A 16,619-nucleotide genomic window follows, 5' to 3' on the forward strand; every position below is an offset into this window, starting at 1 on the left:
GCCTTATCACAGGAGTGACATGTCCTCTCAGAGGAGACCGTGACTTAATATTTGGGAAGGGAAGTCTGGCAAGTTTTAACACTGATCCCTTTTCTAGTCATTGAGCAAAACAAGCTCTCTTTGGCCTGAAGGACTTTGAACTTCTGCTTGTTTCGTTTAGAACACCAGTATGGCTAGCCCCTTCTCTCTCTTCCAAACCAAGTTCAAAAGTTACCTTGTCCGAGAGGCTTTCCCCGATTACTCTATCTCACGTACTCCTTTCCCATCACTCTATCACTTGGTTCTGTTTAGTTTTTAAGGTCACTTATGCCAAGAGGTATTTACTGATTTAATTATTATTTATTTCTCTTTTTCCTTCATTGTCCACCCACCACCACCACCAGTAGAACACAGCAGTCAGAGGGAAGGAACCGTGTTTGTCTAATATCACTAGCACTTAACATACTGTGTGCTCCATTGCAGGCTCTTAATAGATTTTATAAAAACATGAATACATTAGAAACAATGCTAAAGGACTCTCCACTTCTCTGTCTCATAGCATTTGCCACTCTATGTGGTACACTGGAATTTATCCCTCTGCTTCTCCTACTACACTGTAAGACCAGTAAGGTCATTAATTTATCCCTGGTGCTAACTAGAGCACATAGCACTTGCTCGCTAAAATATTTGCTGAAAGAACAGTAGAAATGTATGAAAGAAAAGAAGAAGGAAAACAGTTCCAGGTTTCAAGAACTACAGATGCAAAGAAATGGACACATAAGAAATCATGGCCCAGTCTGCTGTCTCCTGGAGTTTGGGAGTTTGGTATGGCTGGGGCAAAGTTTGTAAGCAATGTCTAGAGAAAGATCAGGCAAGTGCCCAGCCAGGAAGATACACGAGCAAGACAGCCTGCTAAGGAGTCAGGGTGGGTCTAAAATTCATTCACTTTCTTAGGTAAGAAACTTAGATACCTGTATGGAATGACACAGAAGAAGGAGCTGTGCATGCTGCAGGAGCTCTAGAGTCGACTGCCTTGCATTTAAGTCCTCTGCATATTAGTGGTATAACCTTGTGCTAGGTATATGTATTAGTTCATTTTCACACTGCTATAAAGACATTACCTGAGACTGGGTAATACATAAACAAAAGAGGTTTAATTGACTCACAGTTCTGCATGGCTGGAGAGGTCTCAGGAAACTTACAATCATGGCTGAAGGCGAAGGGAAAACAAGGTACATTTTACATGGCAGCAGGAGAGACAGCGAGAGCAAGGAAGTGCCACACTTTAAAACCATCAACTCTCGTGAGAACTCACTCACTATCAGGAGAACGGCAAGAGGGAAACCACCCCCATGATACAATCACCTCCCACCAGGTCCCTCCTTCAACACCTAGGAGTTAAAATTGGAGATGAGATTTGTGTCGGGAAACAGAGCCATATCATTATCTAAATTCTCTATAGCCTCAGTTTCCTTGTATGTAAAAATAAATATAACAGTAACTATTTCACAGAGTTTTGTGAATATTAAATGACACCCTGTGTGAGCAATGCACTAAACTTTACTCAAAACACACTAAGCTCTCCGTAAATATAAACTATAATCACTTTTGTTGTAATCACCATAATTCTCCTTTTGCCTGAAAAGGTGCTGAGGGTAAAACACCTACTTCAAGAAATTCATTTGGAAGAAAGGAAATAGTCTTTAAAATACTGCATATTTACCAAGCATTCTTACTTACAGTGCTTCATTTTGTCTTTATAACGATCCTATGGTATATTCACTGTCAACTCTAATTTAGAGAAGACAAAATAGGTATCATTCTACTAAGAAAAGGATAGAGTTAGATCTCCCCACTTCTAGTACGGTATCATGGATGGAAAATAAAACATAGGTGTTGAAAGATGTTTTCACAAGCAGAATAAAAAAGAAATAAAAACTTGAGACCCAACGGAGTACAAGTGTTTTCCTCTGATCAAGAGGAACAGAATTCCCACAGGGTACCCCATGCTGCCTCTTCTGGCCAAGTACAAGGGCAGTAATCATCAACCTCTTCAGGGGGCCTTCGAGGGGAGGGAGCCAGTCCCAGGCCAGCCTGTGGTGGGATTCTGCCCCCTCACCTCTCTCAACACAGTTAAAAGTCTCCCAGCCTAGCAAAGCCCATCCATACAGTGTTGCCATGCTCACTCCTGAGGGATGTCAGAGCCCAGAACATAGACAGAAATGTTGGGGGGAACTTCTTTTATCTTTAAAAGAACTAACAAAAGAATCTATTTAGCTGGGGAGAGAATTGAGAATGCTGGGAATATCACTTTCCTGACCCCTTTTTTCCCATTTAATAATCAGCTGCCAAAAGCTGTGTCCTGCACACAGTTGAGTCTTGCACTTAAACAGTTTCTGTTCTTTTGATCTTTAAAGATGAATTGTCAAACACAAGAGAGGGCTAGGCGGCTTTCCAAAAAAGAGCAGCAAGATGGCAAAACTTTCAGAAATAGCTGGAAAGGAAGAAAAAGAATTGAGGTTATCGAGAGCAGGAAAATTGAACAAGGATCTGGTAACAGCAGCGTGTGGCTTGGTATGGACAGCAGGAGGGACTGACATTCATTCCCTGACTCACCTGTAGCATAGACATCTCTCCCTGTGTGCCCATCTCTGCCAGTCCCAAAAACAATCTGAGAATTCCCCTTTTCCAGATAAACTTGGTAGCTGGCTTATCTGTACTAAAAAGGGCTTCACAACACCCTTCATTTATGCATCTGATTTAAAAAGTAACAACTAATAATTGCCAGGTGAACAATAACCCAAGATACTAGAATGTTCCAAGATGATCATTAGGCAATATCACCTGTGGCCTGAAGGAACCTCTCAGCTCTCACTGGAGCCTCCCACACAAGCCCCAGCCCCTGCTTTAGCTTGGCTCTGCACTCCAGTGACAAATACCAGAAGCCTGCTCCATGGGCTGCACCGTCCCCTGACCCACACAGACAGGACTGCCTATAGAGCCACAGCACCCCCACGGACGGGTCCATCCGGCAGGGATGCTTGTTCTTGCCATCTTCTAATTCCATAGTGAGCCATCATCTAAGGGGACCACTGAAAAACACGTGTGGCTTGGAGAAGAGTTATTTGACCTCTGAAGAGTTCTCTGTCGCCAGGCTAGAGTGCAGTGGCACGATCTTGACTCACTGCAACGTCTGCCTCCTGGGTTCAAGCGATTCTCCTGCCTCAGCCTCCCAAGTAGCTGGGACTACAGGTATGCACCACCACGCCCATCTAATTTTTGTATTTTTATTAGAGATGGGGTTTCACCATGTTGGCCAGGATGGTCTCGATCTCTTGACCTCGTGATCCGCCCACCTCAGCCTCCCAAAGTGCTGGGATTACAGGTGTGAGCCACTGTGCCCGGCCTGCTCTGACAGTTTATACAAAGCCGTTAGCAGAGACAGACTCTGTTTTCCAACTTTCTTCCTTGTTTGCAGATCAATTATTCCCGCAGAAAATAAAAAGTGACTGGTAATTCCAGTGAGGAGAGACCCAACTCTCTGTACAATGGTGTACTCAACAGTTCTAATGCAAGATTACCCTTGGCAATTTTTTCCCCATGGAGTAGCATCAATGCATCATCTAGCCCCACAGGAGAGAGGGGTAAGTCTAATGATATACCCCACCACATTCTGACATTCTTGCACACTGTGGTAGATTTGCTCACTACATGCCATGCAAGACCCTTGAAGCTTCCCTTCTTGTGTTTAGAGGTAGAATCTAGAAAGTTAAATATTCATTTTCCAGGCTCCTTCATAGCAGGATTTTCCATGTGACCAAATTTCTATTAAGCAGACACGCTTAAATGAGATGTGGAGGTAGACGTGACCAACTAGAAGCAGGGGCCAAATGTGGGGAGATTGGATAGTCCCTCAAGAAAGGGGGCAGAAGTGACTGGTTTCGGAGGGTCACCTGTGGCGGACCTTCCAGTGTTCAGTTCTAAGCATTATATGTGCTGAACAGACAGTAATTGCAGCAGAAAGGTTTCTGCTAGATCAGTGACATGTGGTGTGAGTAGATATTTCTCCCGGATCTGTTGACTTTGGCTGCATTATTCCTGGTCTTGCGGCATCCAAGCGAGATCTTTGGCCCTCCCGGAGATTCTTTGAACTATATAATACCCTTGAATAGACCTCTTTTGCTTAACGAGCTAGAGTAGATCTCGCTGTATCTAAAAGCTTTTGACAGATACAATGTTTTAACTAATTTAATTAATCTATATTAATTAAACTCAATCTCTTTTCTTAAGAAATTAAAATCTCAAGTGTCCAACACAATTGTTCACCAATTTATCCCTGCCAGACTCTGGTAATCATTAAGCAAATTCCAGCTACAATCTTTCAGTCAAGCAATGAACCTTTCCCAGAGTAATACTGCCTCCATCTCCAGGAAAGCTAAATTCCAGATGTGCACATTTCAATTCTTATTTCTGCATAAGAGCATGAATATTCCCTCTTCTTCTTAGTATAAAATATCAAAGTGGATAGCTAAAAGGTCTCCTCAGAATTTTTTTTTTTTTTTTTTTTTTTTACTTTAAGTTCTAGGGTACATGTGCACAACGTGCAGGTTTGTTACGTATGTATACGTGTGCCATGTTGGTGTGCTGCACCCATTAACTTGTCATTTACATTAGGCATATCTCCTAATGCTATCCCTCCCCCCTCCTCCCACCCCACAACAAGCCCCGGTGTGTGATGTCCCCCTTCCTGTGTCCAAGTGTTCTCATTGTTCAATTCCCACTTATGAGTGAGAACATGCGATGTTTGGTTTTTTTTGTCCTTGCAATAGTTTGCTGAGAATGATCTCTTCAGATTAAGTGGGATTCCAACCCAAGAGAATCTTCAAACAAGGGTTTCCAACTTCACATCTAGTATCATCAAAATTGCAGACTGAGGCTAGAGTGTGGAATCTGTTCAACATTGACATAGCAATAGGAAGGATTGCTTCTATACCTCAAGAAGTAATGCTGTTAGAATGGACTATGATGAATTTTAAGGCAATTTTTAACCAAACTCTGCGGGATATTTAGTAATTCCCTGGTGTTTGGATAGCAACTCTCGATATTAAGCCTCCTAACCAAGTCACTTAATCTTTTAGCCTTATTATTACCAATCAAATAGCAAAGACATTCTCCAGCCTTTCCTCAATTTAATGTTGGGTATTCACAGACTTGCCAACATCTTTATGTTTCATTCTAAAATGTAAAGAGTATGATTTTCACACTGAAACCAAGTGGTTTGCATATTAATCCACGGCCATTTCCCAAAACAAAAGTGGTCAGGAAGTAAGCAAAGAAGTTCTCTAAAATGAAAACAAGCAAATATCAAACAAACAAAACAGATCCTGATCATATGTTTGATTAGAATGATAAAGACAGGAAAAGAAGGCACTTTCTGACGAAGAGCTGAGTGACTAGATTATACGTAATACAGTTACGCACCACATAGCAATGTTTCAACCAATGATGGACCACATATAGAACTGTGTTCCCATTAGGGTACAGTAGAGCTGAGGAATTCCTATCACTGATTAACATTGGAAGGCAGCACATTACTCACATGTCTGTGGTGATGCGGATGTAAATAAACTTACTGCACTGCTAGTCTTATAAAAGTGTAACACAGACAATTATGTATAGTCATAATACTTGAGAGTGATAATAAATGGCTATGTTACTGGTTTATGTATTTACTATACAATACTTTTAATCATTATTTTAGAGTGTATTCCTTCTTCTTAGTAAAAAAAAAAAGTTAACTGTAAAACAGCTTCAGACAAGTCCTTCTGGAGGTATTCCAGGAGGAGGCATTGTTATCATAGGAGATGATGTGTTACTGTCCCTGAAGACCTTCCAGTGGGACAAGATGTGGAGGTGGAAGACAGTGATGTTGATGAACCTGACCCTGTGTAGACCTAGGCTAATCTGTGTGTGTCTTAGTTTTAACAAAAAGTTTTAAAAAATTAAAAATGCTTATGGAATAAAGATATAAGGAAAGAATACGTTTGTTATAGCTATGCAATGTTTTTGAACTTTAAGTCTTATTTTAAAAGAGTCAAAAGTTAAAATAAATTTAAAAGTTTATAAACTAAAATAGTTACCGTAAGCTAAGGTTCATTTACTGTTGGAGAAAGAAAAATATCTTCTCATAAATTTAGTGTAGCTTAAGTGTACTGTGTTTATAGAGTCTATGGTATTGTACACTAATGTCCTATGCCTTCACATTCACTCACTGTTCATTCAGTGACTCACCCAGAGCAACTTCCAGTCCTGCAAGCTCCATTCACGGTAAGTGCCCTACAGAGATGTACCATTTTTTTCTTTTATACCATATTTTTACTATATCTTTTCAATAATTAGACATGTTCAGATACACAAATACCTATCATTGTGTTACAATAACCTACAGTATTCAGTACAGTAACATGCTGTATAGATTTGCAGCCTAGGAGCAATCGGCTATACCTTACAGCCTAGGGGCACAGTAGGCTACACATCTACACTTGTATAAGTGCACCCTATGATGTTCACACGAGAATGAAATCACCTAAGGATACATTTCTTAGAACATATCCCTGTTGTTAAGTGACACATGACTGTAATTAAACTCATATTTTGAAAACCACTGATTTTCCTCATGACTGCAATGCCCTTTACTGATCACTATAAAAATTCCCTTTCCTATAATTCTCATGTTTGAAATAAGGCAGAAAAATGACATCAAAAGAGAACAAAACCTGGAACTGACTCCACTACCAGAAAACGGAATGGACATGCATAAGTCATTGATTTTCTCTGTCCTCATTTGTTATGTGGATATTAGATCAGACATTAGGCAAGGTCCCCAGAAGCTCAACCCTTTAAAGCTTCTAGACATAAAGATTCATCTAATAAATGTGACCAGCGTTGCATGGGTTTATAATACCAAGAAGGAGCATCGTGCAGTTGAAAAGGCAGTGGGTCTTTTGTATCAGTCTGACTTTAAATTTGAATCTGGTTGCACTGCTTGCAAGCTGTGAAACCTCAAATGAGTTGCCTAACATTTCTGAGCCTATGCTTTTTCATATATAAAGTAGGATAAATAAAATGTATGCTTAAAGTTGCTTTAAGGCTTAAATTAAATGACTAGGAGCTCCTACCCCAGTGTCCAATTCAAAATTAGTGAGTTCCCTACTTCTATCTCCTTCACATATTGAATTAACATAAGAAAAAATGTTGATGATGTACTCTTTCCTGAAGGAAGAAAATAATTTATAAATGCATCATTTTGAGAAAAGTTTAGTTAAATGACTACTGCAGCTTCCACCCAAAATAAAGGGAATCAGTATATTGAAAAGATATCTGTACCCCTATGTTTGTTGCAGCACTGTCTATGATAGCTAAGATTTGGAAGCAACGTAAGTGGCCATCAACGGATGAACAGATAAAGAAAATGTGGTACATATACATAACGGAGTACAATTCAGCCATTAAAATGAATGAGATTCAGTCATTTGCAACAACATGGATAGAAATGGAGATCATTAGGTTAAGTAAAATAAGACAGGCACAGAAAGAGAAACATTGCGTGTACTCACTTATTTGTGGGATCTAAAATCGAAACAAACTCAAGGACATAGAGAGTAGAAGGATGGTTAACAGAGGTTGGGAAGGGTAGTGATGGGTGGTTGGGATGGTTAATGGGTACAAAAAAATAGAAAGAATGAATAAGACCTACTATTTGATAGCACAACAGGGTGACTATATAGTCAATAATAAGTGTATATTTTAAAATAACGCAAAGAGTGTGATTAGGTTGTTTGTTACTCCAAGGATAAATGCTTGAGGGGATGGACACTGCATTCTCCATAATATGCTTATTTCATATTGCAGGCCTGTATCAAAACATCTCATGTACCACATAAATATATACACCTACCACATATCCACAAAAATTAAAAAGAAAAAAGACAACATTCACCTTCTCCTATTTCAAAGGAAATTAAAACCCATGGAGGTTAGTTCATACCCCTTTGTGATTTAGGTGAGAAATCAGCAGAATACAAAAGATGACATGAATTTAGAGTTAGACAAATCTTGGCACTGTCATTTATTAGAGATATACTCCTGGTCAAGTAAATTAACCAGTGTTCCTCAGTTTCCTTTATAATAATACCCACCCGCAAGGATATATGGGACTTTATAAGTTACCATATGGAAAACACCTAGAGCAATGTATAGAGTAGAAACTGAATAATGATAATGATAGTATAGATTCCATTCATTACTATTTGCTTTCCCATTGATTAGTAGAATGTAAGCTATCTTAAAATTAGAGACGTGCAAAGGAAAAGCTATAATATCTATCCAAGTTTATTTGAGAAAAATAGTACAAAAATAAATACAACTTACATATGCCACTCGTTACATTTTGGTTTAAACTAGGAAAAATATGCCATGGAATGTGTGTGTGTGTGTGAGTGTGTCTGTGTCCCCTACAAAGATTTTATATCTGACACATCTCCCTGGTTCAACTCCTAAAATAAGAATATTCTTTTTTCCAGGCACAGTGGCTCATGCCTTTAATCCCAGCACTTTGGGAGGCCAAGGCGGGTGTATCATTTGAGGTCTGGAGTTCAAGACCAGCCTGACCAACATGATGAAATGCTGTCTCTACTAAAAAGACAGAAAAATTAGCTGGGCGCATGCCCATAATCCCAGCTACTCAGGAGGCTGAGGCAGGAGAATCACTTGAACCCAGGAGGCGGAGTTTGCAGTGGGCCGAGATCGCCTCACTGCCCTCCAGCACGGGTGACAGAGTGAGACTCTGTATCAAAAAGAAAAAAGAAATCATTCTTTTTGCAGAGTGTCTCAGTGCCAAACAGCATTTATAAGACTCTCCACTGCTGAGATGGAAAAGATTGGTTAGTTATAACAAAGGTATATTATACACAAAGGGAAGGATGAATTTTAATGACCTGTAAATTGCATAACTGGTAGTTTGAAACATAGAATCACTCATAGTAATCATATTTTCAATTAATTATATCAATTAATTATATACCATAATTTATTTACGTATGAATATTACAGAATGTCTATCCACTTGAAATATTTTTAGTGTCATTTTTTCAAGCTGAAAGCCTGAAACAAACTTAACCTTCATTACATGTTATTAGATGAGATACTGTATAAAGGTGAAATATACACCAGTTCAGGTAAAAGGAAGACTTCACTTATTTCCTAAATATCGTTTAGGGTTCTATCTTAATCATGTTCCCTGCTGTGTCCCATTTATTCCAAACTTTTCAACATTTTATGTGTTCACCCAGCCCCACCATCTTCCACCTAATCATGTCCCCACTTTTTCTCCCTTATTATAAAGTTGAATTTTCTCTTTCCCATAGGAAAGAACAGGACAGTGCACGTGTGTGTGTGTGTGTGTGTGTGTGTGTGTGTGTTACATGTGTATGCATGTGTGTGTGGTCTCTTGTCAATGGATTCCATACTAGAGCAGTAGTTCTCAATTTTGGCTGCATCATGAAACCTTCTGAGATGCATTCACAATTTTTAAACTACTGATGCTGATTGGGTTAGTCTGTGCTATACTTGGGCACTGGGAGTTTTGCAAGTTCCCACAGAATATTCTAATGTGAAGCCCAGGTTGAGCATCACTGTGCTAGAATGTGGAAGCTTCTTTAATTTCTTTTCCTTTCAATTCTGTATTTATGCTGAATATTTTGGTTCTACAGCTGGACTAAAAATAAATTATTTTGACTACAGTAACTCTGAGTTTTGCCATTTTTGGAAATGTTTCACTTGGTAGATAGGGCACTGATTTTGCTTAGATTTATGTGGTTGTCTCTGGACAAATGACATTTGGGAAGTCTGCATAAGTACTCACTGCAGTCACTCCAGCCCTGCTTCATGCCTTCCAAAAACCATATGACAACAGGCAGAGATTTCCATGATCTGGAAAGGGCAGCCTGAACCCTAGACTCACCACCTGCAGGTCCAGCCTGTACCTGGCCATCCTGAAGTTGGAGATAACTATTTCTATGGACAACTCCAGCAGTGGCCAAAAAGCCAGGCCTGTGAAAAATAAAGTCCTTTCTGGCCACCAGCAGGAAACCAGCCAATCTCCATCACCTTCTGCAGATTTTTTTTTTCTACTTTTATTTATTATGAGCATTTCTTACATGGTCATTTTTCTGAATCTCTCCTTACAATTTCTCTGGCAGTATGAATTTTCAGGACCACCTTAGAGTTAAAATATATGAGTAGAGGCCAAGAAGGTATTTGAATTTAGAGTTCATTGAGTCCCATTGTATTAGTTGGCTATAGCTCCTATAACAAAGTACCACAGAGTTGGTGGCTTAAACAACAGAAATTTATTTATTTATTGTCTTGCAGTTCTGGAAGCTACAAGCCTAAGATCAAGGCATCTGTAGGGCTGATTTCTTCTGAAGGTTCTCCCTATGGCTTGTAGATGGCATTCTTCTCCCTCTGTCTTCACACAGTCTTCTCTCTATGTATTTCTGTGTCCTAATCTCCCTTCTTATAAACACACCAGCTGCACTGGATTAGGGCCTACCCTTGTGACTGCATTTTATCTCAATTACCTCTTTAAAGACCCTGTCTCCAATACAGTGACATTGTGAGGGGGTTAAAACTTCAGCATATGAATTTGGGAAAACACAATTCAGACAATAACATCCATGATGAAAGAGTTTATTTCCCTCAGTTGGGATCCTTGTATGTATGAATTCATGGCCATAATGATTGTTTTTACCTTCTCCAGCAAGAGAGCAGAGCCTGACTTTCTGGGAGATACAGATCTCTGTCATTTAAAAATTCTGTGATGAATGTAGTTGGTAACCAAATTGAACTCAAAAAATATAAAGGCTCTGAAAACAAATGCAGAACCCATTAAGTTATGCAGTGAATAAAGGGAAAATGTAAAATAATTTTCCTGATTTTGTGAAAACTATATTTCAGATAATCTGGGAGAAGTTTGATTTAAAATTGTCTCCGTCATAAACATTCTGAGTTTGTTTTTCTTGTCAGGATACAGTTCCAATTAAGAGTGTGGAATATATGGTCATCATACAACTGTCTTTGCTGGTTTCTTTTGCTATGTTATTTATTTGGGTTAGGAGACTGTACCAATCCCCTCATCTATGCAGAGGACTTCAATTTGCACTCACAGGCTGCCTGCTTCAAAGTATTTTTAAAGTATTTTTGTGACTCTCAGTGTAGGGGAGTTTTTCAGTCACTTTCTTAAGGTAATTCACCTAATATTTCCTTCTGGAAAATGTGGGTTTTCCAGATCTTACCTGAGTCCATCAATCCATTAAAATTGTGGTATAATGGCAAGGACTTACCTTGAGGTTTGGGCTTGGTCAGTTTGCCACAGGGCTTGGAGATGGTGACAGTCTTCTGGCATTCGGCATTGTGCAGGGCTCGCTTCAGACTTCCAGTTCTGGTCTTCAGGGCTGTGTTCAGGTCACATTCTCCCCAGGCCTGGAACTGGTATTTGCACTCCGCTAAAGGCAGGGTAGAACCAAACAGAAATCCTTGAAAGATCCTATCGTACTTCCAGGATAATAAAGGCACACTTTTGTTTGTAACTTTTTTATTGAAATAATTATAGATCCATATGCAGCTATAAGAAATAATACAGAGTGTATGCGTGTGTATTGATTTCTGTTCAATTCTATCACATGTGTAGATGCATACGATCACCATCAATATACACCATTAATACACACTAATATACACTATTAATATACAGTCCCAATACAACAGTGGGTCATTCTTTATAGTCATGGCCTAGCCACCTTCCTCCTTCCCCACCTCCTTAATCCCCGGCAACTCCTTATCTGTTCTCTAGCTCTATCATTTTTCTAGCTTAAAAATGTTGCATAAATGGAATTCTACAATATGTAAACTTCTGAGATTGGCTTTTTTATTTAGCATAATTTCCTGAAGATCCATCCAAGTCATGTGCATCAATAGTCTGTTTCTTCCTATTGCTGAGTAGTATTCCATGGTCCCAATGTACCCCAGTTTGTTTAACCATTCATCAGCTGAAGGACATCCGAGTTGTTACCAGCCTTGGGTTACTACAAATAGAACTGCTATATAAATTCATGTATAGGTTTTTGTGGAAACATCAGTTTTCATTTCTCTGAGATAAATTACCAAGAAACTGCTGTGTTACATGGTAAATGCATGTTTCATTTCGTAAAAAACTGCAATACTCTTTTTCCACTGTGGCTGTACCACCTTACAATTTCCACTGGCAACATATGAGGGATCTGGTTTCTTGGCACCCTCACTAGCATTTCGTCTTGTCACTATTTTTTATTCTAGCCACTTTGATAGATGTAGAGTGATATCTCATTATGGTTTCAATTTCTAGTTCCCTAATAAGGAAAAGATGCTGAATATATTTTCAGGAGTTCATTTGTTGCCTATATATCCTCTTTGGTAAAATGTCTGTTAATGTTTTTTCCCCACTTTCTTATTGAACTGTTAGGTTTTGTTTGTTTTGTTTTTTGTTGTTGTTGTTTTGTTGTTTACTGTTGAGTTTGAGAGTTATTTAATATTCTCAATGTAAGTCTTTAAGATATACCTTTTAAACTTTTTGTAAGTGGGTTTTTAAGGTGCCCATATACAATTTAAGACCAAATGTACCTGTTCTCCATCACACTTTTATAGAACTTGTCTATATCCATTCAAATAAAAAATACCCCAAAGATTACAGAGGGAGAAAAAGACATACATGTATACATCCATTATCCTTCCTCACTTGTCTATGGGCCACAATGCATTTCCATAGAACACAGATAGGACATTTCAGGCATCATGTCCCACTATGGCTAAGAAAGACAAAAAGTCTGGATTGTGGAAGAGGTTATTTGAGGGTTCAATACTGGATATAAAGTTGAAAGTGTTGAGAGATCCTGTCTCAGATAGATAGATCAGGCCAGCATAAGACTGACTCCAGTCAGTGGGAGAAAGATTTATGAAACGTGGCTGTGAGCAGCCCTGCTGAACTCAGTAAGTGAATCTGTGAAACTGTGTGGAGGTTGGGGAGGGATCAAATGGGAGAGAAGGTCTGAAAGTGACAGGGAGAAACATGGAGAAGCAGGAGAATAAATAAGAAAAGGGGAAAGGAAAAATCAAAGGAACTTAGAAATAGAAGAAAGGAGAGAGAAGACAGATCAATTAACATTATTCAGAGGAATCAAGGATATATTTTATGTCCCTTTGGAAAGGCAGTGGTTCCCAACCAGGGATGATTTTGACCAACAGGGTACATTTGGCCATAGATATTTGGAGACATTTTTAGTTTTCACATCTGGAGCGGGTGAGGAATGCTACCGGAAACTAGCGAGTAGAAGCCAGCGATGCTCCTAAATACCCTAAAATGCACAAGACAGCCTCCACAACAAATAATTGCCTGGCCTGAAATGGGACCAGTCTGGTCACTTTGTGTCTGGTAAGATAAAGTTATTTAAAATAAAAAGTACTTATCCTTAAAAAGACATTTGGTGGAAAAATTTGAGAATTATCTCAGAGTAGGAGATTAACTCAGTAGCATGAGGCTTACCGCCAAATTGCTTCTTCCAGTTGCAGGGGATCTTACATCTCTGGGTCTTCATGGTTTGCTTGCACTCAGCTCCAGTCCGAGTGCCCTCCCGTGTGCCCAGCCCACAGTCTCCACTGGTGGGCACACACACACTCCACTGCCATTCTCCACAGTCAGACTTCTTCACTTTTTTTTCTGAATGAAAGGAGGAAAACCTAATCAACATACAGAAAACTCCTTAACTTCCAGATATAACCAAGTTCATTCCTGAGCACCTTAATTGCAGGATCTGTGTTTTTTAATCTGTATCCTTATTGTCTAATGAATAGTAGAAACATGATGAATATTAACCAAATTATTGAACCAATGAATGATCAAGAGAAGAGAGAAAGAAAACTGAGAAAAGAGCTAAAACTAATATTAATTGAACTCCCTCTTACTATGTGCCAGAGACTGTGCTAAGTGATTTAGTGGCATCTCCTTTTAGAAGCAAACATTTCTATAAAAGAAGAGATGGTCAAAAATATAGTTCTCCTAAAAATGAAGAAAATATTCTATTAGAAATAACAGTTGTCAGCTGGGCAAAGTGGCTCATGCCTGTAATCCCAGCACTTTGGGAGGTCGAAGCAGGCAGATCACAAGGTCAAAAGATCGAGACCATCCTGGCTAACATGGTGAAACCCCAACTCTACTAAAAATACAAAAATTAGCTGGGCGTGGTGGTGCATGCCTGCAGCCCCAGCTACTCGGGAAGCTGAGGCAGGAGAATCACTTGAACCGGGAGACAGAGGATACAGTGAGTTGAGATCGCACCACTGCACTCCAACCTGGTGACAGAGCGAGACTCCAACTCAAAAAAAAAAAAAAAGAAATAACAGTTGTCAAATGAGCCATTTCAGTGTAAGTTGTTGTTCCTTTCTCTGCCTTGTAGAAGGAATGACATCATACAAATATGGTGCATCACAGATTTAAACAGACTGTCAGTTCCACAGCCTACTTATGACTTTGGGAGTGGCATAGAGAAGGTGCTTTATCTTCTCTGTGCTTGTTTCCTCCTCTGTAAATCTGAAATTAAGGAGAAAAACAAGTTGCAGTGCATTTTTTTTTTTTTGAGGTAGAGAGGTAAATAATAAAGCACCTGATTACCGGTCAATGTTCTATACATAGTAGCTGCTAATTTGATCATTATATTAATGATCATCATCGTCATGCAATCCAAGACTTACAATGGGAGAAAAATAAGACAGGATATTTCTTAGGTTCCTCTAAGTAATTATTTTTGAAAAGGGAAGATTGAAGGAATAGAGGAATAGGAAGGGAGAGAGGCAGAGTAGAAGAGAGGAAGGAAAAGCAGGTAATTAGACTAGATGGACATTAATCAATGAAGCATCTTGCCTTCAGAACCCTACTGCTTACCTGGTTTCTCTTTCTTCCCTGCTTCAGCAGTATCCACAGCTGCCAGTATGAAAATGAATGCCAAGAAGGCAGCTGCAAATTTTCGACGCTGCTGCTGGTACTGTTGAGCCTGCATTCTAGGAATAAACAGAGAAAGAGAAGAAGGTGGCATTAACCTAAGTCAGAAAGGAAGATTCATTGAACCCTTGATGAAAAGGCTCCACTTTCCATTTCTGGAATGTTAGATTTCAGGAAGATTCATATCAATTATCTTGGGTAGAATTTTATCTATTCTTACCAACAGCCATTGAAATAAGTGCTCTTCTGCAATCAATCACGTATTCACTGACAAAACGCAACAGTTCTTCACTTAAGACTTCACAACCATTTGCTAAGTATGACTCAGAAATTATGGAAGCAAAAGAACTTTGAAGGCATGCATTTGAACACAGTCCTACTGTCTTGCTGATAGCATCACTTGGTAATATCGACAACTACAGCCATCTTCAAAATTCCTGACAATATTAGAAACAACCACAGCAATGATACTGCTGTACACAAGACCAATTTGAGTAGACATGATGAATGAATTACCTATACAAGTATATGTTTACTGTTTCTATTTAGACGCATACACAACAACCAACATCTCTGATCTTTTTAAAATCATTGTCATAATCATCACTATCATCTTATTATTCCATTATTTATTGATCTAACAAAGAGTGAATCCCAGAAGTAGAGCTAGCACACCTGTGATACATATCAAACACAATGATAAATTCGCATGTGCTAAAAATCCTCTAATCTTAGGATATGGTGAAGTCTTTACACTCACTCATAATAGGAAATGCTCACATTTGATGTGAATCAAAAATCCCAAGATATCATTAGAAAGACTCTCCTAGAACTTGAAGCCACCTGTGACAGCCTAGTGTCAATATGGTCACTTGGCCAAAACACCCTTGAGAAAGTTTCAGTCCAAGCTCCAGGACGACCCACTTCCCAATGGCTACACCATATCATGGCTGCAGCAACTTGCCTGGCAGTTATTGAGCTCCATCTGCTGTGTTAGTGGTGTGTTATACTTCACATAAAAATGGTTGTAATGTCCTATGATCATAGGCTGATAATTTTTTTTCCAGAGGTAGTACTAGATTAGTTTAGGTGTTTCAACATTCTCTTTAGTGTGAACAATAAAACGTTTCATGTATATAAGGGGTTGAGATTATTCTTTTCTCTAATTTATTTTCCTCATTGAAAAATATCTGAGATGATATCCTTGCCCGTGAATTTTTCTCCTTTTCTGTGGCATTGTATATGCTGTCTCTTATTAGTGTTTTTTTAAATTTATTTATTTTTAATTTTACTTTAAGTTCCAAGATACATGTGCAGAATGTGCAGGTTTGTTACACAGGTATACATGTGCCATGATGGTTTGCTGCACTTATTGACTGGTCCTCTAAGTTCCCTCCCCTTACCCCACACCCCTCAACAGGTCCTGGTGTGTGATGTTCCCCTCCCTGTGTCCATGTCTTCTCAATGTTCAACTCCCAGTTATGAGTGAGAACATGCGGTGTTTGGTTTCCTGTTCCTGTGTTAGTTTGCTGTGGATGATGGCCTCCAGCTT

General features: G+C 39.1%; 1 protein-coding gene across 3 annotated transcripts in view, besides 1 other annotated feature; it reads right to left on the reverse strand.

Moving 5' to 3' along the window:
- Positions 1 to 16,619, reverse strand: part of PTN (pleiotrophin) — a 116,393-nt gene that overhangs the window by 12,508 nt on the left and 87,266 nt on the right. For all 3 annotated transcript variants that reach the window (NM_001321387.3, NM_002825.7, NM_001321386.2), the window contains exons 2-4: positions 15,011 to 15,126; positions 13,616 to 13,789; positions 11,382 to 11,543 (exon numbers count right to left, since the gene is read on the reverse strand). In NM_001321387.3, the coding sequence (NP_001308316.1) occupies positions 11,382 to 11,543; positions 13,616 to 13,789; positions 15,011 to 15,125 (451 nt within the window). In that variant the 5' untranslated portion in view covers position 15,126. The remainder of the gene's footprint in view (positions 1 to 11,381; positions 11,544 to 13,615; positions 13,790 to 15,010; positions 15,127 to 16,619) is intronic.
- Positions 1,753 to 2,254: an enhancer, noted in NCBI's record as "NANOG hESC enhancer chr7:136926348-136926849 (GRCh37/hg19 assembly coordinates)". NCBI's record gives its function as "activates a minimal SCP1, AML or CMV promoter by ChIP-STARR-seq in primed H9 embryonic stem cells {active_cell/tissue: H9 hESC(primed)}" and the evidence as "EXISTENCE:reporter gene assay evidence [ECO:0000049][PMID:30033119]".

The sequence above is a fragment of the Homo sapiens genome, chromosome 7 (assembly GCF_000001405.40).
Source record: "Homo sapiens chromosome 7, GRCh38.p14 Primary Assembly".
Taxonomy (NCBI): domain Eukaryota; kingdom Metazoa; phylum Chordata; class Mammalia; order Primates; family Hominidae; genus Homo; species Homo sapiens.